The sequence below is a fragment of the Homo sapiens genome, chromosome 3 (genome assembly GCF_000001405.40).
Source record: "Homo sapiens chromosome 3, GRCh38.p14 Primary Assembly".
NCBI classification, from domain to species: Eukaryota; Metazoa; Chordata; class Mammalia; order Primates; family Hominidae; genus Homo; species Homo sapiens.
In genome coordinates this window covers 10,135,352-10,155,646 of record NC_000003.12, presented here as the reverse complement: position 1 = coordinate 10,155,646, position 20,295 = coordinate 10,135,352, and the positions used below count along the sequence as shown (strand labels likewise).

General features: G+C 47.2%; 1 protein-coding gene and 1 pseudogene across 4 annotated transcripts, besides 39 other annotated features; both read right to left on the bottom strand.

Moving 5' to 3' along the window:
- Window positions 1-13,308: part of a biological region, named in NCBI's record as "3p25 von Hippel-Lindau tumor suppressor, E3 ubiquitin protein ligase Alu-mediated recombination region", that runs on past the window's edge. NCBI's record gives its function as "recombination_partner: LOC107303339 | LOC107303341".
- VHL (von Hippel-Lindau tumor suppressor) lies at window positions 1,980-13,869 on the bottom strand. 4 transcript variants are annotated; one of them, NR_176335.1, is made up of 4 exons: window positions 13,460-13,869; window positions 12,626-12,884; window positions 9,011-9,133; window positions 1,980-5,860 (listed from the first exon to the last, which is right to left on the bottom strand). NR_176335.1 is itself a non-coding variant. In NM_001354723.2 (3 exons), the coding sequence occupies exons 1-2, from the start codon at window positions 13,797-13,799 to the stop codon at window positions 12,643-12,645; spliced, it is 582 nt and encodes a 193-aa protein (NP_001341652.1). In that variant the 5' UTR covers window positions 13,800-13,869; the 3' UTR covers window positions 1,980-5,860; window positions 12,626-12,642. The 4 variants fall into 4 exon arrangements, 3 of the variants coding, with proteins under 3 accessions (NP_001341652.1, NP_000542.1, NP_937799.1); NM_001354723.2 differs by lacking the exon at window positions 9,011-9,133; NM_000551.4 differs by lacking the exon at window positions 12,626-12,884.
- Window positions 2,652-2,786: a mobile genetic element, noted in NCBI's record as "direction; forward".
- Window positions 2,739-2,740: a non allelic homologous recombination region, noted in NCBI's record as "AluSq2 recombination sub-region, recombines with the AluY recombination sub-region a within this recombination region". NCBI's record gives the evidence for it as "EXISTENCE:nucleotide sequencing assay evidence [ECO:0000219][PMID:19280651]".
- Window positions 4,467-4,764: a mobile genetic element, noted in NCBI's record as "direction; reverse".
- Window positions 4,669-4,710: a non allelic homologous recombination region, noted in NCBI's record as "AluSx1 recombination sub-region b, recombines with the AluSc8 recombination sub-region within this recombination region". NCBI's record gives the evidence for it as "EXISTENCE:nucleotide sequencing assay evidence [ECO:0000219][PMID:19280651]".
- Window positions 5,997-6,207: a mobile genetic element, noted in NCBI's record as "direction; reverse".
- Window positions 6,168-6,170: a non allelic homologous recombination region, noted in NCBI's record as "MLT1H recombination sub-region, recombines with the FLAM_C recombination sub-region within the 3p25 BRK1 Alu-mediated recombination region". NCBI's record gives the evidence for it as "EXISTENCE:nucleotide sequencing assay evidence [ECO:0000219][PMID:19280651]".
- Window positions 6,235-6,546: a mobile genetic element, noted in NCBI's record as "direction; reverse".
- Window positions 6,269-6,343: a non allelic homologous recombination region, noted in NCBI's record as "AluSx recombination sub-region c, recombines with the AluSx recombination sub-region a and the AluSz recombination sub-region a within this recombination region". NCBI's record gives the evidence for it as "EXISTENCE:nucleotide sequencing assay evidence [ECO:0000219][PMID:19280651]".
- Window positions 6,675-6,964: a mobile genetic element, noted in NCBI's record as "direction; reverse".
- Window position 6,964: a non allelic homologous recombination region, noted in NCBI's record as "AluSx3 recombination sub-region, recombines with the AluSq2 recombination sub-region within the 3p25 BRK1 Alu-mediated recombination region". NCBI's record gives the evidence for it as "EXISTENCE:nucleotide sequencing assay evidence [ECO:0000219][PMID:19280651]".
- Window positions 7,034-7,336: a mobile genetic element, noted in NCBI's record as "direction; reverse".
- Window positions 7,113-7,332: a non allelic homologous recombination region, noted in NCBI's record as "AluYa5 recombination sub-region, recombines with the AluY sub-region a within the 3p25 IRAK2 Alu-mediated recombination region, and the AluSc5, AluSg, and AluY sub-region b within this recombination region". NCBI's record gives the evidence for it as "EXISTENCE:nucleotide sequencing assay evidence [ECO:0000219][PMID:19280651]".
- Window positions 7,983-8,287: a mobile genetic element, noted in NCBI's record as "direction; reverse".
- Window positions 8,012-8,029: a non allelic homologous recombination region, noted in NCBI's record as "AluSx1 recombination sub-region a, recombines with the AluSg recombination sub-region within this recombination region". NCBI's record gives the evidence for it as "EXISTENCE:nucleotide sequencing assay evidence [ECO:0000219][PMID:19280651]".
- Window positions 8,338-8,633: a mobile genetic element, noted in NCBI's record as "direction; reverse".
- Window positions 8,436-8,592: a non allelic homologous recombination region, noted in NCBI's record as "AluSc8 recombination sub-region, recombines with the AluY recombination sub-region b and the AluSx1 recombination sub-region b within this recombination region". NCBI's record gives the evidence for it as "EXISTENCE:nucleotide sequencing assay evidence [ECO:0000219][PMID:19280651]".
- Window positions 9,174-9,473: a mobile genetic element, noted in NCBI's record as "direction; reverse".
- Window positions 9,272-9,455: a non allelic homologous recombination region, noted in NCBI's record as "AluY recombination sub-region b, recombines with the AlusSc8 and AluYa5 recombination sub-regions within this recombination region". NCBI's record gives the evidence for it as "EXISTENCE:nucleotide sequencing assay evidence [ECO:0000219][PMID:19280651]".
- Window positions 9,912-10,223: a mobile genetic element, noted in NCBI's record as "direction; forward".
- Window positions 10,074-10,177: a non allelic homologous recombination region, noted in NCBI's record as "AluY recombination sub-region a, recombines with the AluY recombination sub-region a within the 3p25 BRK1 Alu-mediated recombination region, the AluY sub-region c within the 3p25 IRAK2 recombination region, and with the AluSq2 recombination sub-region within this recombination sub-region". NCBI's record gives the evidence for it as "EXISTENCE:nucleotide sequencing assay evidence [ECO:0000219][PMID:19280651]".
- Window positions 10,438-10,690: a mobile genetic element, noted in NCBI's record as "direction; forward".
- Window positions 10,529-10,534: a non allelic homologous recombination region, noted in NCBI's record as "AluSx recombination sub-region b, recombines with the AluSz recombination sub-region within the 3p25 BRK1 Alu-mediated recombination region". NCBI's record gives the evidence for it as "EXISTENCE:nucleotide sequencing assay evidence [ECO:0000219][PMID:19280651]".
- Window positions 11,918-12,185: a mobile genetic element, noted in NCBI's record as "direction; reverse".
- Window positions 12,180-12,181: a non allelic homologous recombination region, noted in NCBI's record as "AluSc5 recombination sub-region, recombines with the AluSx recombination sub-region c within this recombination region". NCBI's record gives the evidence for it as "EXISTENCE:nucleotide sequencing assay evidence [ECO:0000219][PMID:19280651]".
- Window positions 12,219-12,529: a mobile genetic element, noted in NCBI's record as "direction; reverse".
- Window positions 12,253-12,268: a non allelic homologous recombination region, noted in NCBI's record as "AluSx recombination sub-region a, recombines with the AluSx recombination sub-region c within this recombination region". NCBI's record gives the evidence for it as "EXISTENCE:nucleotide sequencing assay evidence [ECO:0000219][PMID:19280651]".
- Window positions 12,419-12,952: an enhancer, noted in NCBI's record as "H3K4me1 hESC enhancer chr3:10184379-10184912 (GRCh37/hg19 assembly coordinates)". NCBI's record gives its function as "activates a minimal SCP1, AML or CMV promoter by ChIP-STARR-seq in primed H9 embryonic stem cells {active_cell/tissue: H9 hESC(primed)}" and the evidence as "EXISTENCE:reporter gene assay evidence [ECO:0000049][PMID:30033119]".
- Window positions 13,004-13,308: a mobile genetic element, noted in NCBI's record as "direction; reverse".
- Window positions 13,033-13,284: a non allelic homologous recombination region, noted in NCBI's record as "AluSg recombination sub-region, recombines with the AluY recombination sub-region b within the 3p25 BRK1 Alu-mediated recombination region and the AluSx1 sub-region a, the AluYa5 sub-region, and the AluSz recombination sub-region b within this recombination region". NCBI's record gives the evidence for it as "EXISTENCE:nucleotide sequencing assay evidence [ECO:0000219][PMID:19280651]".
- LOC124906359 (uncharacterized) lies at window positions 14,400-14,497 on the bottom strand (annotated as a pseudogene).
- Window positions 16,814-17,117: a mobile genetic element, noted in NCBI's record as "direction; reverse".
- Window positions 16,814-20,295: part of a biological region, named in NCBI's record as "3p25 BRK1 Alu-mediated recombination region", that runs on past the window's edge. NCBI's record gives its function as "recombination_partner: LOC107303340 | LOC107303341 | LOC107303342".
- Window positions 16,942-16,961: a non allelic homologous recombination region, noted in NCBI's record as "AluJb recombination sub-region, recombines with the AluYk3 recombination sub-region within the 3p25 VHL Alu-mediated recombination region". NCBI's record gives the evidence for it as "EXISTENCE:nucleotide sequencing assay evidence [ECO:0000219][PMID:19280651]".
- Window positions 17,236-17,534: a mobile genetic element, noted in NCBI's record as "direction; reverse".
- Window positions 17,247-17,517: a non allelic homologous recombination region, noted in NCBI's record as "AluY recombination sub-region b, recombines with the AluSg recombination sub-region within the 3p25 VHL Alu-mediated recombination region and the AluY recombination sub-region b within the IRAK2 Alu-mediated recombination region". NCBI's record gives the evidence for it as "EXISTENCE:nucleotide sequencing assay evidence [ECO:0000219][PMID:19280651]".
- Window positions 18,330-18,630: a mobile genetic element, noted in NCBI's record as "direction; forward".
- Window positions 18,536-18,552: a non allelic homologous recombination region, noted in NCBI's record as "AluY recombination sub-region a, recombines with the AluY recombination sub-region a within the 3p25 VHL Alu-mediated recombination region". NCBI's record gives the evidence for it as "EXISTENCE:nucleotide sequencing assay evidence [ECO:0000219][PMID:19280651]".
- Window positions 18,717-18,980: a mobile genetic element, noted in NCBI's record as "direction; reverse".
- Window positions 18,860-18,863: a non allelic homologous recombination region, noted in NCBI's record as "LTR12C recombination sub-region, recombines with the NAHR recombination sub-region b within the 3p25 TATDN2 Alu-mediated recombination region". NCBI's record gives the evidence for it as "EXISTENCE:nucleotide sequencing assay evidence [ECO:0000219][PMID:19280651]".

Sequence of the window (20,295 nt, the reverse complement as noted above, 5' to 3'; positions counted from 1 at the left end):
GATTTCTTCCCGAGAGCGAGCAAGCAATCAATTCTGCAGTGAACACCAATTAGGTATCCTCTAATTCACTTCCAACACCATCTTTCTGGAAATAATATCAGATCCTGCAGGTTGAGGCCTCAGTCCCCAAGACTGCCCCCACCCACACACCAGTAGCAAGTTTAGGGCTCCAGAACTTCTGACCAACCAGCTTCAAGTTGGGGTTCCCACCACCTTCGCTTTGGGTTTAATTTGCTGGAGTGGCTAACAGAACTCAGTGAAAAATGTTTACCAGTCTTTTTTTTTTGAGACAGCAGGTCTTGCTCTGTCTCCCAGGCTGGAGTGCAAACTGAACAGCTGGGACTGCAAGCATGCGCCACCACTCCTGGTTGTTCTTTTTTTTTCTAGGAGAGACAGGATCTCACTATGATGTTATCTTGAACTCCCAGGCTGAAGCAATCCTCCTACCTCAGCCTCCCAAAGTGCTGGGATTATATGTGTGAGCCACCACGCCCGGCCTACCTGGTTTATCATAAAGGATATTACGAAGGATACAGATGAAGAGATGCGTACACCAAGGTATGGGATAAGGGGCGCAGAGCTTCTGTCCCCTCCCTGGGCGCACCACCCTCCAGGAACCTCTACACGTAGTTCAGCTATCCTGACACTCTCCACTGTCCTCATGGGTTTTAACGAGGCTTTATGATGTCACCATTCCTTCCCCCAGGGTATGGGGTAGGACCTTCTCTGAAATGAGGGTTGTAATCTCACCTGTAATCCCAGGGCTTTGGGAGGCCAAGGTGGGAGGATCGCTTGAGCCCAGGAGTTAAAACCAGCCTGGGCAACACAGCGAGACCCCATCTCTACAAAAAACTTAAAAATTAGCCAGGCAAGGTGGCTCACATCCGTAACAAGGGCTATGGGAGTTATGAGCCAGGAACAAAAAAAGAAAACATATACATCATAACACCAGTTTCATAAACACCTTACAGACAAAGGCTGAAGGTAATTGTAAGCAATATTTTCCACAGTTTTGCACGTGAAACAAGTTTGTGTTAAGTACTCACATGTGGAACTTTCCACTTGTGGCGTCACGTTGGGACTCTTGGATTTTGGAGTGCTTTGGATTTGGAATTTTTGGATTAGGGATACTCAGTCTGTATTGAAGGGGTATCAGGAAGCCAATGACTAGCAGAGCGTGGGACTGAGGTGCTAAGAAGAGGATACAAAGACCCAGGGTCAAAGTATCCGAAAAGTTCACATTGACATCTATTTCATATCCTTAGTGCACTGATTTCTAGCCCATGCCCTCACTGTGGTATTCTCTCTCTCTCTCTCTATATATATATATATATTTTTTTTTTTTTTTCTTTTGAGACGGAGTTTCACTCGTTGCCCAGGCTAGAGTGCAATGGTGCAATCTCAGCTCACTGCAACCTCCGCCTCCCAGGTTCAAGCAATTCTCCTGCCTCAGCCTCCTGAATAGCTGGGATTACAGGTACATGCCACCACACCCAGCTAATTTTTTAATTTTTAGTAGAGATAGGGTTTCACCATGTTGGCCAGGCTGGTCTCAAACTCCTGACCTCAGATGATCTGCCTGCCCTGGCCTCCCAAAGTGCTGAGATTACAGGCGTGAGCCACCTCGCCTGGCCTTATTCTCAACATAATTGCTGGTGAAATACTAACCACTTACCCTTTTGGGTTCTGTTTTCATGGGAAAAAACTTTGTTTCCGATGTGAATGTTTTTCTTCTTAATATTTTTCTGTAGTGTGTAATTTTTTATAGTGATACATTTCTTTTATAAGAAAAATAAAGCTAAAAGAAACAATGTTAAATAAAAAAAAAAAATCCAGGGTTGGAAATAGAAGAGACTTGGAATGAGGCTGGTGGCTTATGTTTGGATCTCCTTCCCATCCTGGGCCTTTATGTAAACAGGTTTCAAAACTCTCTGAGAGAGAAGCGCCTAGTTAAAACACCACACAACACACCCTGCCTATTTCCTTTACTCAGCACCATTTAATGTATTAAAAAACAGCTTTAAAAAAAAAAAAAAAAAAAAAAACTTGAAATAGGAACTTCACCGTCTCTTAAGAGCGATATATTTAATACATTCACAAGATTCGAAATGAAAAACAAACATTATTCATGCTACAGGTTTTTAATTTTCCTTGGACAACACCAAAAACACAGTACTCAAACGGCATGTTTTTTTTTTGTTTTTTTGGTTTCTTTTTGAGATGGAATTTCACTCTTGTTGCCCAGGCTGGAGTGCAATGGTGTGATCTTGGCTCACTGCAACCTCCGCCTCCCGGGTTCAAGAGATTCGCCTGCCTCACAGGCGCCCACCGCCACACCTGGATAATTTTTGTTTTTTGTTTTTTTTTTTGAGACGGTGTCTCACTCTGTCGCCCAGGTTAGAGTGCAGTGGCACCATCTCAGCTCACTGCAAGCTCCGCCTTCCAGGTTCATGCCATTCTCCTGCCTCAGGCTCTCGAGTAGCTGGGACTACAGGCGCTCACCACCACGCCCGCCTAATTTTTTCTATTTTTTAATAGAGACGGGGTTTCACCCGTGTTAGCCAGGATGGTCTCGATTTCCTGACCTCGTGATCCACCCGCCTAGGCCTCCCAAAGTGCTGGGATTACAGGCATGAGCCGCCGCGGCCGGCAATTTTTGTATTTTAAGTGGAGATGAGGTTTCACCATGTTAGCCAGGCTGGTCTTCAGCTCCTGACCTCAGGTGATCCATCCGCCTTGGTCTCCCAAAATGCTGGGATTACAGGCATGAGCCACTGTGCTCGGCCTGCAGGTTTTAACAAGAGGAGCATGAACTATCATTTTGACACAAAGACAGCTTAAAAAAAATAATAAAGCTGGCTGGACGCGGTGGCTCACACCTGTAATCCCAGCACTTTGGGAGGCTGAGGTGGGTGGATCACAAGGTCAGGAGATCAAGACCATCCTGGACAACATGGTGAAACCCCGTCTCCACTAAAAACACAAAATTAGCCAGGCATGGTGGCAGGCGCCTGTAATCCCAGCTACTCAGGAGGGTGAGCCAGGAGAATCACTTGAACTCGGGAGGCAGAGCTTGTAGTGAGCAGAGATCGCACCACTGCACTCCAGCCTGGGCAACAGAGTGAGACTCCATCTCAAAAAAAAAAAAAAAAAAAAAAAAAAAAAGACTATTTGTTGAATGTTGAAAGGAGGAGCTAAAATCAGTTGAAATTCGGAGTAGAAGGAAAACTGGAGTGTCTCATTCACTTCACTCTGATTTGAATTTTTTTTTTTTTTTGAGACAAGAGTATTGCTCTGTCACACAGGCTGGAGTACAATGGTGCGATATCAGCTCACTGCAATCTTCGCCTCCTGGGTTCAAGTGATTCTCCTGCCTCAGCCTCCTGAGTAGCTAGGATTACAGGCATGCGCCACCACACCCAGCTAATTCTTGTATTTTTTAGTAGAAATGGGGTTTTACCATGTTGGCCAGGCTGGTCTCGAACTCCTGACCTCAGGTGATCTGCCCACCTCGACCTCCCAAAGTGCTGGGATTACAGGCGTGAGCCACCATGCCCGGCCTGATTTTTTTTTTTTTTTTTTTTTTGAGGCAGGGTCTTGCTCTGTCCCCCAGGCTGGAGTGCAGTGGCATACTCATGGCTCACTGCAGCCTCCAATTCCTAAACTCCAATGATCTTCTCACCTCAGCCTGCCAAGTAGCTAGGATTACAGATGTGTGCCGCCATGCTAATTTTTAAAAATTTTTTGTATAGATGGGTTCTCACTATGAGCCCAGGCTCATCTTGAAGTTCTGGGCTCAAGCAATCCTCTTACCTTGGCTTTCCAAAGTACTGGGATTACAGGCGGGAGCCACCATGCCAGCCGTCACTCTCATTTTTGAGCACAGGAATTGTGCCCAAAGGCTAGGATAAGGAATTAAAGATGCATGCCAAGAAATACCCACAAACATTAATTATAAAAGGGAGACTATACTAATGTTTGTGAAAAGCTTATACTAACATAGAGCAATATTTAAGTTATAAAGTTAAATGAAAAAGGGTATAAAACTGTATGAACAGTACAATCTCAACTATGTAAAAACCAACCAAAATCTGCCCTAAAAAGGCTGGAAGGAAATAGCTCAAAATGTTAATGTGATTGTATTTAAGAAGTGTATCTAATAGGGATCTTTTTTCTTCCTTTTTAGTTTTCTGTCTTTTCCAAATGTTTCTCTACTGGGGAGATTTTTTTAAAAAGCTATTAGGGAAGGAGTAGAACAAAAGTGGAAAAAAAAATCTATTAGTTACAAAAAACTGAGTCTGATAGAAGCATTGAATTTGAGTTAATGAATCTAAGTCTAGCCTATAAGAATTTGTACATTTAGAAAACTATGAAACAGTCCAGGCTACTCCATGAATCCATTGGTAGGACCAGAGGCTGGAGGTGGAAGTGCCACCTGGTCCTGCCTGATAAAAAATGCTGAATCAGCCAGGCACGGTGGCCCACACACCTGTAATCCCACCATTTTGGGAGGCTGAGGTGGGCGGATCACCTGAGGTCAGGAGTTTGAAACCAGCCTGGCCAACATGACGAAACACTGTCTCTACTAAAAGTACAAAAATTGGCCAGCGTGGTGGCAGGCGCCTGTAATCCCAGCTACTCAGGAGGATTACGTGAACCCAGGAGGCAGAGGTTGCAGTGAGCCGAGATGGCGCCACTGCACTCCAGCCTGGGTGACAAGAGTGAGACTCCATCTCAAAAAAACAAAACAAAACAAAACAACAACAACAAAAAAACCCAAATCAATCAGGAATGTCACATATTTACAAAAAGGAACAGAAATACTCACATTTAGCAAAAACTTATTTGTCCATTAATACTATAATCAAACATGCAGATTTTCTCGTATTTTCTGTGCGGATGGCAAGTTACAAAAATGCTATTATCACAACTGTAGAATGTCAATCCTAGTTTAGAAACAGTAATAAAACAGCACTTCAACAAGAGTGGACCGAGAAAGTGCACGACTTAGAAAATTATAAAAAATGCTTCCTACAAAAATGATTCCCTTTAAGACATTTGTTCACTGTACACATTTTAAGGTCCCCTCTCCCACCCCCCAACAAAAATAGAGGCAGAACCTCTAAGCACTTTCTAACAAAGTGTCCCCTGGTTTGTTCCTCTGACAAACCCTGACTGAAGGCTCATGATGTGCAGGCACTGGGGTCTCAAAGAGGAGAAAGACTTGTCCCTGCCTCACGGATGCCTCAGTCTTCCCAAAGCAGGAGGCAGACAAGTCACCAACCGCTACGGATGTAGAATGGATGTATTATACATCCATTAAAAGCAGATGCCAATGCCTTCTTAAAATTAAACGATATGCTGCAATTCCCACTGAATTACTTATACAAACCTCCTTACATACAAGCTGTCCTGACTTACTAGGAAGCAAAAATGCCACCACCTTCTCCTGATAAATACTTCTCTAATGGGCAGGCATTAAATTACATTTTGTGATGTTTGCCCCTAAACATCACAATGCCTAGTGAAGTCAGTTAACTTTCTTTTAAGCAATGGTGCCTATTTTACTCTGAGAATGAGACACTTTGAAACTAAGGAAGGAACCAGTCCTGTATCTAGATCAAGACTCATCAGTACCATCAAAAGCTGAGATGAAACAGTGTAAGTTTCAACAGAAATCTTCAATCTCCCATCCGTTGATGTGCAATGCGCTCCTGTGTCAGCCGCTCCAGGTCTTTCTGCACATTTGGGTGGTCTTCCAGATCTTCGTAGAGCGACCTGACGATGTCCAGTCTCCTGTAATTCTCAGGCTTGACTAGGCTCCGGACAACCTGGAGGCATCGCTCTTTCAGAGTATACACTGGAAGGGCAAAAACCAAATCCTCAGTGGCAGACTAGGGTCTCAGTACAAGGAACGAACAAGAGGCTTTGCCAACAACTACCTGTACTACTGATGGATCTCACTTTAGGTTAAAGAAAAAAAGTGAGTGCATGTATGTGGCAGTGTGTTATGCTGATGGCCCCCTATGGACACCTCATGGTGTTCATGCCTCTGTAGTAATTTCACCTTGAAATGGGCTGGGCTTGTGATTGCTTTAACTAACTGAATGTGGATGAAGCGACACTGGCAATTCTAGGCCGAAGCCTTAAAAAGGCCTGCTGACTTCTGCTTTTATACTTTTGAAAGCCCTGAGCTACCCTGCTAGAGAGACCACATAAAGAGGAACAGGCCCTGGCCAGGCATGGTGGTTCATGCCTGTGATCCCAACACTTTGGGAGGCCAACGTCAGTAGATCGCCTGAGCTCAGGAGTTCGAGACCAGCCTGGCAACATGGCGAAACCCCGTCTCTACAAAATACACAAAAAATTAGCCAGGCATGGTGGCACATGCCTGTGGTCCCAGCGACTGGGGAGGCTGAGGTGGGAGGATCACTTGAGCCCTGGAGGCAGAGGTTGCAGTGAGCTAAGATCATGCCACTGCACTCCAACCTGGGTGACAGAGTGAGACCCTATCTTGAAAAAAAAGAAAAAAGAAAAGAGAAAAAAAAAAAAGAGGGACAGGCCCAGCCCCCAGCTGCCAGCAAAAGGCAGCCACACCAACGACTACCACCAGCAGAGTAACTGCCTAGCTGAGCCCAGCCTGGACTACAGAATTATGAACAAATAAAATGGTGGGCTGGGCGCAGTGGCTCACGCCTGTAATCCTAGCACTTTAGGAGGCTGAGGCAGGCAGACTGCCTGAGCTCAAGAGTTCAAGATCAGCCTGGTCAACATGGTGAAACCCCCGTCTCCACTAAAATGCAAAAAATTAGCCAGGCTTGGTGGTGCACACCTGTAGTCCCAGCTGCTGAAGCAGGAGAATCGCTTGAACCCGAGAGGCAGAGGTTGCAGTGAGCCAAGATCACACGCCACTGCACTCCAGCCTGGGTGACACAGTGAGACTCTGTCTCAAAAAAAAAAAAAAGGTGGTTATTAGTTTTGGGGTGGTAGTCACAAAACACATAACCAAAACAATGTGTACTTAGAAAATCTAGGCCGGGCGCGGTGGCTCACGCCTGTAATCCCAGCACTTTGGGAGGCCGAGGCGGGCGGATCACGAGGTCAGGAGATCGAGACCATCCCGGCTAAAACGGTGAAACCCCGTCTCTACTAAAAATACAAAAAATTAGCCGGGCGTAGTGGCGGGCGCCTGTAGTCCCAGCTACTTGGGAGGCTGAGGCAGGAGAATGGCGTGAACCCGGGAGGCGGAGCTTGCAGTGAGCCGAGATCCCGCCACTGCACTCCAGCCTGGGCGACAGAGCGAGACTCCGTCTCAAAAAAAAAAAAAAAAAGAAAATCTAGTACAACTGAATTGGGTATCCCAATTCCTATTTTACACTCACTGGAAACGTACTCGAGGGTATTCTATAAGGCAAATTTACCAAATTTAACTTAGCAATGCTCATTTTTATATATCTACTTCCTTAAAACAGGATCTATACACACATAGTAGTTTGAATCCTATGAAACCCATGTATTTGGGGGGTTTTTGAGTTTTTTTTTTCTTTTTTTGAGACAGGATCTCACTCTGTCACCTGGGCTGGAGTGCAGTGGTATGATCATGGCTCACTGCAGCCTCAAACTCCTGGGCTCAAGGGATCCTCCCACCTAAGCCTCCCAAATAGCTGTGACCACAGGCATATGCTAAGATGCCCAGGTAATTAAAAAAAAATTTTTTTGTGGAGCTGGGGTCTCACTTTGTTGTCCAGGCTGGTCAAGAACTCCTGGTCTCAAGCGACCCTCCCGCCATAGCCTCCCTAAGTGCTGGAATTACAGGCATGATTACAGGCAGGAGCCACCACACACTGCTGGTCTTTAGTGAGGTTTTTTTTACCCACAGGAACATCAGTTTATTAGGGTTTACCCTGATAAAATCATTTGAGCTTCAAACAAATAGTGAAGTATTATACCAATCTTCAATGATTTAAAAAAAAAAAAAAACAGGCTGGACGCAGTGGCTCACGCCTGTAATCCCAGCACTTTGGGAGGCTGAGGTGGGCAGATCACCTGAGGTCAGGAGTTCAAGATCAGCCTGGCCAACATGGTGAAACCTCATCTCTACTAAAAATACAAAAATTAGCCAGGTGTGGTGACAGGCACCTATAACCCCAGCTACCCAGGAGGCTGAGGCAGGAGAATCACTTGAACCCAGGATGCAGAGGTTGCAGTGAGCTGAAATCGCACCACTGCACTCCAGCCTGGATGACACTGTGAGACTCTCTAAAAATAAAAATAAAAAAAAAAAAAACACCTCTGATTGGCACTGTGAGCTTGATTGTGTTAAATTGAAAATACATAGGCCAGGTGCTGTGGCTGATGCCTGTAATCCCAGCACTTTGGGAGGCGTAGGCGGGCAGATCATGAGGTCAGGAGATGGAGACCATCCTGGCTAACACGGTGAAACCCCGTCTCTACTAAAAATACAAAAAATTATCAGAGTGGGTGGCACACGCCTGTAGTCCCAGCTACTCGGGAGGCTGAGACAAGAGAATCACTGGAACCCAGTAGGCGGAGGTTGCAGTGAGCCGAGATTGCGCCACTGCACTCCAGCCTAGCTAACACAGCGAGATTCTGTCTCAAAAAAATAAAAAAAATTAGAAGTCAGCAACAAATAAGCCAAAATATCTCATGCTCTACACATTGTTCTCCTGGAACTCCAGGGCACAATTTGGCCAGGGAAACAAAAGGCATTCGTAATTCTACAATTCTACAAAACTAACCTATGATATGATACTTTAATTTCGCTTGTCTCTTAAGAGCCCAAAGTGCTTTTGAGACACCATAACACCTTTAACACATAACGTACAAATACATCACTTCCATTTTATTTATGGTAGAGAATAGGATACAAAAAGATTGGATAACGTGCCTGACATCAGGCAAAAATTGAGAACTGGGCTTAATTTTTCAAGTGGTCTATCCTGTACTTACCACAACAACCTTATCTTTTTAAAAAGTAAAACGTCAGTACCTGGCAGTGTGATATTGGCAAAAATAGGCTGTCCGTCAACATTGAGAGATGGCACAAATAATTCAGTTTGGTTAACCAGAAGCCCATCGTGTGTCCCTGCATCTCTGAAGAGCCAAAGGTGACCTATCGGGACAAGCAAAGGTTGTTAAAGAGCCACACCGGTGGCTGGGCACGGTGGCCCACACCTGTAATCCCAGCACTTTGGGAGGCCGAGGCAGGCGGATCATGAGGTCAGGAGATCAAGACCGTCCTGGCTAACGTGGTGAAACCTCGTCTCTACTAAAAATACAAAAAAATTAGCCAGGTGTGGTGGCGAGCGCCTGTAGTCCCAGCTACTCGGGAGGCTGAGGCAGGAGAATGGTGTGAACCCAGGAGGTGGAGCTTGCCGTGAGCCGAGATCGCGCCACTGCACTCCAGCCTGGGTGACAGAGCAAGACTCCGTCTCCAAAAAAAAAAAAAAAAAGAGCCAGACTGGTCTGAGTCAGGGCACCTATTTTCTCCATTTCCCCTGACCTACACAAAAAGCTTACCTCTCACTCTGCTTAAATATTATACAAAGCCCTTCTAGTAACATTATCTCAGTCAGTCCTCACAACAGATCCATTTACAGATGAGAAAACAAGTCTGAGAGAAGTGACATGCTCAAGGTATAAGACAGTAAGCAAAGAGCGCGTACTTAAAGCTCTCAATCCCATGCCCTTTCTGCTACCATGGTGGAAAAGGGAAGCCTAGGTCAAGTACGTGATTACAAATCACAGCAAACCCTGCAAACTAAAGAGAAAAAGCCACTGACTTCTCAAATCAGTGCTTCTCAAAAACAAGGAAGTGCAAAAACATGTCGAGAGAAAACTCATCAAACCCTAAGATCTGTGCATTTTACTGTATGTAAATTATACCAGAATTTTCTTTTCTTTTTCTTTTTTTTTTTTTTGAGATGCAGTCTTGCTCTGTCGCCCAGGCTGGAGTGCAGTGGCACGATCTCGGCTCACTGCAAGCTCCGCCTCCCAGGTTTATGCCATTCTCCTGCCACAGCCTCCCAAATAGCTGGGACCACAGGTGCCCGCCACCACGCCCGGCTAATTTTTTGTTATTTTCAGTAGAGACAGGGTTTCACCGTATTAGCCAGGATGGTCTCAATCTCCTGATCTTATGATCCGCCCGCCTCGGCCTCCCAAAGTGCTGGGATTACAGGAGTGAGCCACTGCGCCTGGCCCAGAATTTTCAAAATGCATACATCACAAACAAAAGAGGGCAGGAAGCAATCCTCCAGCCCTAAGATTCTGTTTAAGGAAGGAGGAGGTTGTCTTAGAATAAATATAGCACTTGTTCCTCGGGGCATAAATTTACTTACAGATTTGATGGGAAATTTTAAGAAATGTAAACTTGTAATTTTTTAAATTTTGGTAAAATATACATAAAAGTTACCATTTTATTTATTATTTAGAGATGGAGTCTTGCTCTGTTGCCCAGGCTGGAGTGTAGTGGTGTGATCTTGGCTCACTGCCACCTCCGCCTCCCAGGTTCAAGCAATTCTCCTGCCTCAGCCTCCCGAGTAGCTGGGACTAAACAGGCGCATGCCACCACATGCAGCTAACTTTTGTATTTTTAGCAGAGACAGGGTTCCACCATATTGGTCAGGCTGGTCTTGAACTCCTGACCTCAGGTGGATCTACCTGCCTCAAACATTTACCATTTTAACCATTTTTAAATGTACAATTCAGTGCATTAAGTACCTTCAAAAGTAATGTTATTTTCTTTTTTTAAGACGAGGTCTCTATGGGTGCAGCACACCAACATGGCACATGTATACATATGTAACAAACCTGCACGTTGTGCACATGTACCCTAGAACTTAAAGTATAATAAAAAATTTTAAAAAAATAAAAAAGAGATGAGGTCTCAGCCTGGGCAACATAGCAAGACCTCATCTCTACTAAAAATAAAAATAAAAAAAGAAATTAGCCAGACATAGTGGAGCATGCCTATAGTCCCAGCTACTTTGGGAAGCTGAAGCTCTGGGAGGACTGCTTGAGCCCAGGTTAAGGGTGCAATGAGCCGTGATCATGCCACCAAACTCCAGCCTCCACACTCCAGCCCAGGCAACAGCAGGACATCCTGTCTCAAAAAAAAAAAAAAAAAAGACAAGATAGAGAGACAGGGTCTTGCTGTGTTACCAGACTAGAGTACAGCAACTATTCAGAGGCACCATCATAGTTCACTGTAGCCTCCAACTCCTGGGTTCGGGTGATCTTCCTGCCTCAGCTTCCCAAGTAGCTGGGACTAAAGGCAGGAATGTGCCCTGCTAATTTTTCAAGAATTTTTTTTTTTTTTAAATACAGACAGGGTCTCACTATGTTGCACAGGCTGGTCTCCAGCTCCTGGGCTCAAGAAATCCTCCTGCCTCAGCCTCCCAAAGTGCTGAGATCACAGGCATGAGCCACTGCACCCAGGCTCAGTAAATTTTTATATTAAATCGGGCACAGAAAAATTTTGGAGTAAAATACAAAATTCATACAATTTCCTATATAAAATAGGAGCCTACAGAAATGTTGATCCCTGGAAATACTGTGTTCTTCATCTAACATTAGAAGTCTGGTGTAAAAGTGTATTAAGTACACCACCCTCAAGGAAGAAAGATCGGGATCCTTGCAAAAATCCTTTGTAAAGATTAAGTGACACTAGGACTACTTCTCTGCTTAAAGGCCATGGCAAGATTACTGCCTGCACCTTAGGTAAGGCCTAGTTATTCCTCACCTGGGTTTTCACAACTACCTAACTGCTTCCTCGACAGCAGTCTTTCCCCTCCAAACCACTTGGCAACCTGGGTGAGCTTTTCAGTATATAAATCTGACAATGTCATGTCCCTGCTTAAAAACTTTCGGTCGGACGTTGTGGCCGAAATCCCAGCACGCCTGTAATCCCAGCACTTTGGGAGGCCGAAGCAGGCAGATCACGAGCGCAGGAGATGGAGACCATCCTGGCCAACATGGTGAAACCCTGTCTCTACTAAGAATACAAAAAATTAGCTGGGAATGGTAGTGCGTGCCTGTAATCCCAGTTACTTGGGAGGCTGAGGCAGGAGAATCGCTTGAACCAGGGAGTCGGAGATTGCAGTGAGCCAAGATTGTGCAACAGCACTCCAGTCTGGCGACAGATCCAGACTCCAACTCAAAAATATATATACATAAATACTGAAAAACTTTCAAAGGGCTGGGCGCAGTGGCTTACACCTGTAATCTCAGCACTTTGGGAGGCCAAGGCGGGTGGATCATCTGAGGTCAGGAGTTCGAGACCAGCCTGGCCAAAATGACGAAACCCCCGTCTCTACTAAAAAAAAAATTAGCCAGGAGTGGTGGCGCACGCCTGTAATCCCCGCTCCTCGGGAGGCTGAGGCAAGAGAACCACTTGACCCCAGGTGGCAGATGTTGCAATGAGCCGCAATCGCGCCACTGCATTCTAGCGTGGGCCACTGCACTCCAGCTTGCAGAGCAAGACTCCCGTCTCAAAAAAAAAAAAAAATTTCAGTGCCCCCATATTCCTAGGGGTAAAATCACCTTTTAAGCATCCTCTCCCAAGACTCCAGGTCTCAACGCACGCATGTCTAGAACCTCTTACCTAGGGTTGGCTAGTTCCTACTCCATCCTGCTCTCTTCCTTCTCCGGGAAGTGCTCCTTAACTGAAACCACACAACCGCAACCCCTCCATCTCCCAGCAGGCAGGTAAGTCAATTTCCCACGCCACACACGGTCGGCTCTTCCGGCGCCAACATGACCCTGGCTTGTTCCTGTCTTTGCATCTGTCAGTCTCCCCAGGAGGAATGTGTTCTCCACGAGGGCAGGGACTACGCAGAACTGGCCCACTGGAGTCATGAGGACTGAACAGATGGGGTGTTAAGGATGCAGCTTTTCTTTGAGGGGAAAATACACGTGGGGTGGGGGACTGGGGGGAGCCACCTTCAAATGCAAACTATTCGGCCTTATAAAGAATGCTCTGGGCCGGGCGCGGAGGCTCATGCCCATAAGCCCAGCACTTTGGGAGGCCGAGGCGGGCGGATCACGAGGTCAGCAGTTCGAGACCAGCCTGACCAACATGGTGAAACCCCGTCTCTACTAAAAATATAAAAATCAGCCGGGCGCGGTGGCGCACGCCTGTAATCCCAGCTACTCAGGAGGCTGAGGCAGGAGAATCGCTTGAACCCGGGAGGCGGAGGCTGCAGTGAGTCGAGATCGCGCCACTGCACTCCAGCCTGGGCGACAGAGCGAGACTCCGTCTCAGAAAAAAAAAAAAAAAAAAAAGAATGCTCTGACGCTTACGAGCAGCGTCACCCTGGATGTGTCCTGCCTCAAGGGGCCTCAGTTCCCCGTCTGCAAAATGGACCCCGGGGCGGTAGAGGGGCTTCAGACCGTGCTATCGTCCCTGCTGGGTCGGGCCTAAGCGCCGGGCCCGTACCTCGGTAGCTGTGGATGCGGCGGCCCGTGCCAGGCGGCAGCGTTGGGTAGGGCTGCGGCTCGCCGTCGAAGTTGAGCCATACGGGCAGCACGACGCGCGGACTGCGATTGCAGAAGATGACCTGGGAGGGCTCGCGCGAGTTCACCGAGCGCAGCACGGGCCGCGGCCGCCCGGCCTCCATCTCCTCCTCGGCGCCCAGTTCCTCCGGGCCGGACTCTTCCGGGCCGGACTCCTCGGCGCCCGACTCCTCCCCGCCGTCTTCTTCAGGGCCGTACTCTTCGACGCCTGCCTCCTCCGCGCCTACCTCGGCCTCGTCCCAGTTCTCCGCCCTCCGGGGCATTCCCTCCGCGATCCAGACCACCCGGGCCGGACGCCGCGGGATCCGCGGGTCGGACGCGGGGCGGAGCTGCGTGCGCGCTCCCGAGTCGACCTCCGTAGTCTTCGCGCGCGCTCGGTAGAGGATGGAACGCGCTCGCGGAAATAGCCGGCCGGAGGCTGTGCGCGTGCGCAGAAGGATCCTCCAGCACCGTAGGCCGTTGTAACGGAGGCGAGGCTAGGCCAACTCGTTACTGTATTTCCACTATAAAATTTTTTTTCGCCCCTCTAAGGTTTGGTGTTTTTTTTTTTTTTGAGACAGGGTCTCACTCTGTCGCCCGGGCTGGAGTGCAGTGGCGCGAGCTTGGCTCACTGCAGCCTTGACCTCCCTGGCTCAAGCGATCGTCTCGCCTCAGCCTCCCGAGTAGTTGGTACTGTAGGCGCGCACCACCATGCCCGACTAATTATTTTTATTTGTTGTTTGAAACGGAGTCTCGCTATGTTGCCTAGGCTGGTCTCGAACTCCTGGGTTCAAGTGATCCTCCTGCCTTGGCCTCTCAAAGTGCAGGGATTACAGGCCTTAGCCACTGTGCCTGGTGGACTAACTGAATTTTTTTTTTCTTCATGTCAGACGCGCAATGTGCCGACGTCGTAACAAGGTTCGAGGGTGGCGCATCTCACACGGGAACACCCAATCATCACGCTTATAAAGTACAAAAAGTCAACTAACTGAATTCTTACAAGGCATGGGTGATTAGTAAAGAGGGAAAAATAATTAGACCTACTATGTGCAGAGCACTCTGGTGGAAATTGGAAAATCAGATATTTACTTCAGAGCAATTAAAACTACAAACATAAACACTCATTAACTTTGTTCATTTTACAAATATTTATTAAGGCCCTACTATGTACCACCTATGGTGATAAGTGTTGAAAATATTGTAAAAACCGGTCATGTTTCCTGCCTTCACTGCACTTCAATAAAAGCGTCATACGGTAATCAATCACACAAATAAAATAGCAACTATGGCCGGGTGCAGTGGCTCATGCCTGTAATCCCAGTACTTTGGGAGGCTGAAGTGGGCTGATCACAAGGTCAGGAGTTCTAGACCAGCCTGACAACATGGTGAAACCTCGTCTCTACTAAAAATACAAAAATTAGCCTGGCGTGGTGGTGCGCGCATGTAATCCCAGCTACTTAGGAGGCTGAGGCAGGAGAATTGCTTGAACCCGGGAGGCGGAGGTTGCAGTGAGCTGAGATTGTGCTACTGCACTGCAGCCTGGGTGACAGAATGAGACTCTGTCTCAAAAAAAAAAAAAAAAAAAGTGCAACTGTGACTAGTACGACAAAAAGAGACAGGGTACTATAGAAGGCTAAAGATCTGGGGGTCAAGGAAGATGGTACACAATTCTGTGTAATTAAATGTTCAATGATGTGGGATGGACTCAAGTGGAGAAGCAGCTCAGAAAAAGAAGGGTTCAGAGAGTTTTATATTAGTTAAAAATAATTTTTTTTTAGACAGTCTCGCTTTATCACCCAGGCTGGAGTGCAGTGGCTCAGTCTCAGCTCACTGCAACCTCCATCTGCCGAGTTCAAGTGATTATCGTGCCTCAGCCTCTGGAGTAGCTGGGATTACAGGTGTGTGCCACCACACCCAGGTAATTTTTGTACTTTTAGTAGAGACGGGGTTTCACCATGTTTGCCAGGCTGGTCTTGAACTCCTCACCTCAGGTAATCTGCCTGCCTTGGTTTTCCCAAGTGCTGGGATTACAGGTGTGAGCCACCGTGCCCAGCTCAAAAATAAATTTCAAGTAGAAAGAAAAAAATCTATCAAGTGCCAGACACTGTGCTAAGCATCCCACGTGAATTAAGGCTATGTCATTATCTCCATTTCACAGCTAAGGAAACAGAAGGGTATATAAGAATGTGAAGGCCTAGCACTATACGCCTGTAATCCCGAGATTTTGGGAGCCCAAGGCAGGTGGATCACTTGAGTTCAGGAGTTGGAACCAGCCTGGGCAACATAGCGAGGTCCTGTCTCTATAAAAAATGAAAGAATTAGCCAGGCATAGTGGCGTGCACCTGTAGTCCCAGCTACTCAGGAGGCTGAAGCAGGAGGATCACTTGAGCCTGGGAGGTTGAGGCTGCAGTAAGCCGTGATCATGCCACTGCACTCCAGCCTGGGCAACAGAGCCAGACTCTGTCTCAGAAAAAAAAAAAAATGTGAAAAGGGTAGTCAAAATGCTGGATCAGAGAGGCTCATCACCTGATGCCTTAGGAGAAAATGACAGTATGAGTGAACCTCAGGAGTTGGATATCTCCACAAAAGCACTGACACCATGAACCTAAGTAATTTTGCCTAGGGCTCTCCTTGACAGCTCACTGCACAGAGATGGTGTATCCTGGTGGCCTCCAGCAGGATTAAGTGACCAGCAGTGATGCTGGACCCCCAGCTACATTAACAACATGAAAACACTGTAGAGAAAAATCCCAAAGTAGGCCAGACGCAGTGGCTCATGCCTGTAATCCCAGCACTTTGGGAGGCCAAGGTGAGCAGATCACTTGAGGTCAGGAGTTTGTGACCAGCCTGGCCGACATGGTGAAATCCCATCTCTACTAAAAATACAAAAAATTAGCCAGCATGGTGGCCTGCGCCTGTAATCCCAGCTACTCGGGATGCTGAGGCAGGAGAATCACTTAAACCCCAGAGGCAGAGGTTGCAGTGAGCCCAGATAGCACCACTGCACTCCAGCCTGGGCAACAGAGTGAGACTCCACTCAAAAAATAAATAAATAATAAAAATAAGATAAACCCCAAAGTAGGACTTCTGTTAATCAAATTACAATGGCTTAGAGCCATCATAATTCACAAGATTCATGCAAACATCCCCTCAGTTGTACTCCCATGCTAGCGAGGTGAAATATAACAGTTTAATATTACAGAAATGCCTACATCCCTAAAATGAAACCAGTTGTTTAGATAAATGCAGGCTTTGAGACTGCAAATAATGTTTCAAAGATCATTTAAGAGGAAGGGGTGGCCAAGCACGGTGGCTTGTGCCTGTAATCCCGGCACTTTGGGAGGCCGAGGTGGGCGGATAACTTGAGCTGAGGAGCTCGACACTAGGCTGGGCGACATGATGAAATCCTGTCTCTACAAAAAATACAAAAAATTAGCCGGGCGTGGGTGCACCTGTAGTCCCAGCTGCTCAGGAGGCTGAGGCTGGAGGATCACCTGAGCTCAGGAAGGTCAAGGCTGCAGTGAACTGTGATCGCGACACTGCACTTTAGCCTGGGTAACAGAGCGAGACTCTGTCTCAAAAAAGAAAAAAGAAAAGAAAAAGTTGCAAAGGAAACAAGTTTAGAATACACAGGCAAAATTTTTCTTACAGTACACTTTTCATTAGGCAAAAAGACATGTAGAAAAGAATAAAAAATACAATGTCTAAAGACAACCGGTGGGCCGGGCGCAGTGGCTCACGCCTGTAATCCCAGCACTTTGTGAGGCCAAAGCAAGTGGATCACGAGGTCAAGAGATCAAGACCATCCTGGCTAACCCAGTGAAACCCTGTCTCCACTAAAAATACAAAAACAAAATTAGCCGGGCATGGTGGTGGGCGCCTGTAGTCCCAGCTACTCGGGAGGCTGAGGCGGGAGAATGGCATGAACCCGAGAGGCAGAGCTTGCAGTAAGCGGAGATGGCGCCACCGGACTCCAGCCTGGGCGACAGAGCGAGACTCCGTTTCAATAAATAAATAAAGACAACTGGTGACTTGTTCTATCTCCTTTTCTGTCTTTTCCAAATTTTCTCTAAGGGGGATATATTTTGCCTTGTTTGTATGTCGACCAATTAAAATATACAAGTACAATAATAAAGCAAATACTGATAATGTCACATGTAATTAGCATGTTGCCATATTTACTTCGTTTCCAGTTTTTGCAATGAGCTGAGATCGTGCCACTGCACTCCAGCCTGGGCGACAAAGCGAGACTCTGTCTCAAGAAAAAAAAAAAAACCAGAGTATCTTGTCACCCCCAAAACTCCTTCATGGTCAAACCCTGCTTCCACTGTTAATCCCTGGCAAGCACTGGTCTGTCTGTCTTGTGTCCCTATAGTTTTGCCTTTCCAGAATGTCACACAACAAAATCGTATCATATGTAGCCTTATGAGTTTGGCTTTTTTTCACTTAGCATAATGCATTTGAGATTCATCCAAGTTGTAGTATATAATAACTTACTCATTTTTATTGCCAAGGGTATTCCATACTATCTACTTACCAACTGCAAGATATTGGTTTGTTTCCAGTTTTTAGCAATTATAAAGTTGCTATATACATTAGTGTACAGGTTTCTTGCAAACATAAGTTTTGTTTCTCTTGGGTGAGAATCACCTAGGAGATTGCTAGGTCAAACACAAAGTACATGTTTAACTTCATGAGAAATTGCTAACCTGTTTCCCCAGAGCAGTTGTATCATTTTGCATTCTCACCAGCAATGTATGACTGTTCCAGTTGCTCCACATTCTTGTCTACAGTTGGTATTATCAGATTTGAGGTTTTGTTCTTTTTTTTTTTTTTGAGACAGTCTCGCTCTGCCGCCCAGGCTGGAGTACAGTGGCACAATCTCGGCTCACTGCAACCTCCACCTCCGGGGTTCATGTCATTCTCCTGCCTCAGCCTCCCAAGTAGCTGGGGCTACAGGCGCCCGCCACCACGCCCAGCTAACTTTTCGTATCTTTAGTAGAGACGGGGTTTCACCGTGTTAGCCAGGATGGTCTCGATCTCCTGACCTTGTGATCCGCCCACCTCGGCCTCCCAAAGTGCTGGGATTACAAGCGTGAGCCACCGCGCCTGGCCTGGGGTTTTGTTCTTTAAAAATAAAAAAATTTTAGCCATTCTAATTGATGTATAGTGGTATCTTATTGACGTTTAATTTGTACTTCTGAGAGGTGACAATGTGCTGGCAGCCCTCGCGGCCCTCGCTCACTCTCGGCACCTCCTTGGCCTTGGCCACCACTCTGGCCACGCTTGAGGAGCTGTCCAGCATGCGGCTGCACTGTGGGAGCCCCTTTCTGGGCTGGCCAAGGCCAGAGCCGGCTCCCTCAGCTTGCAGGGAGGTGTGGAGGGAGAGGTGCGGGCGGGAACCGGGGCTGCCGTGGCGCTTGTGGGCTAGCACAAGTTCCGGGTGGGCGTGGGCTCAGCCGGCCTGCAAGCCCAGGGCAGTGAGGGGCTTATCACCTGGGCCAGCAGCTGCTGTGCTCAATTTCTCGCAGGGCCTTAGCTGCCTCCCAGCCGGGCAGGGCCCAGGAGCTGCAGCCCGCCATGCCTGAGCCTCCCCCCTCTTCCGTGGGCTCCTGTGCCACCCGAGCCTCCCCGACGAGCGCCACCCCCTGCTCCACTGCGCCCAGTCCCATCAACCACCTGAGGGCTGAGGAGTGCAGGTGCAGGGTGCGGGACTGGCAGGCAGCTCCACCTGCGCCCCGGTGCAGGATCCACTGGGTGAAGCCAGCTGGGCTCCTAAGTCTGGTGGGGACTTGGAGAACCTTTATGTCTAGGTAAGGGATTGTAAATACACCAATTGGCACTCTGTATCTAGCTCAAGGTTTGTAAACACACCAATCAGCACCCTGTGTCTAGCTCAGGGTTTGTGAATGCACCAATCGACACTCTGTATCTAGCTACTCTGGTGGGGACTTGGAGAACCTTTGTGTTTAGCTCAGGGATTGTAAACACACCAATCAGCACCCTGTCAAAACGGACCAATCAGCTCTCTGTAAAATGGACCAATGGGCTCTCTGTAAAATGGACCAATCAGCAGGATGTGGGTGGGGCCAGGTAAGAGAATAAAAGCAGGCTGCCAGAGCTAGCAGTGGCAACCCGGTTGGGTCCATTTGTATGTCGTGAGAGGTTTGTTCTTTTAGTCGTTGCGGTAAATATTGTTATTGCTTACTCTTTGGGTCCGCATTGCCTTTGTGAGCTGTAACGCTCACCGTGAAGGTCTGCTGAAGCCAGCAAGACCACGAACCCACTTGGAGGAACCAAAAACTCTAGATGCAGTGCTTTAAAAGCTGTAATACTCGCGGTGGTCTGCAGCTTCACTCCTGAGCCAGCAAGACCACGCAGCCACCAGAAGGAACAAACTCTGAACACATCCGAACATCAGAAGGAACAAACTCTGGACACGCCACCTTTGAGAACTGTAACACTCACCGCAAGGGTCTGCAGCTTCATTCTTGAAGTCAGTGAGACCAAGAACCCACCAATTCTGGACACACTTCTCTAGTGACTAACAATGTTGAGCATCTTTTCATGAGCTTGTTTGCCATTAAAAAATAATCAAGCTGGCCAAGTGCAGTGGCTCACGTCTGTTAATCCCAGCACTTTGGGAGACCCAGGTGGGAGGATTGCTTGAGCCCAGAGTTCAGGACCAGCCTGGGCAACACAGTGAGACCCTATCTCTATTTTGTAAAATAATTAAAAATTTAAAAAATAAAGCTAATGTATTTATTACTTCAGTTTTTT

Coding starts and splice junctions, on each gene's coding strand:
- VHL (NM_000551.4), bottom strand. CDS start 13,799: ATGCCCCGGAGGGCGGAGAACTGGGACGAGGCCGAGGTAGGCGCGGAG. Junction 9,134..13,459: donor CCGCATCCACAGCTACCGAG/GTACGGGCCCGG, acceptor TTGTCCCGATAG/GTCACCTTTGGCTCTTCAGA. Junction 5,861..9,010: donor TGCCAATATCACACTGCCAG/GTACTGACGTTT, acceptor TTGCCCTTCCAG/TGTATACTCTGAAAGAGCGA.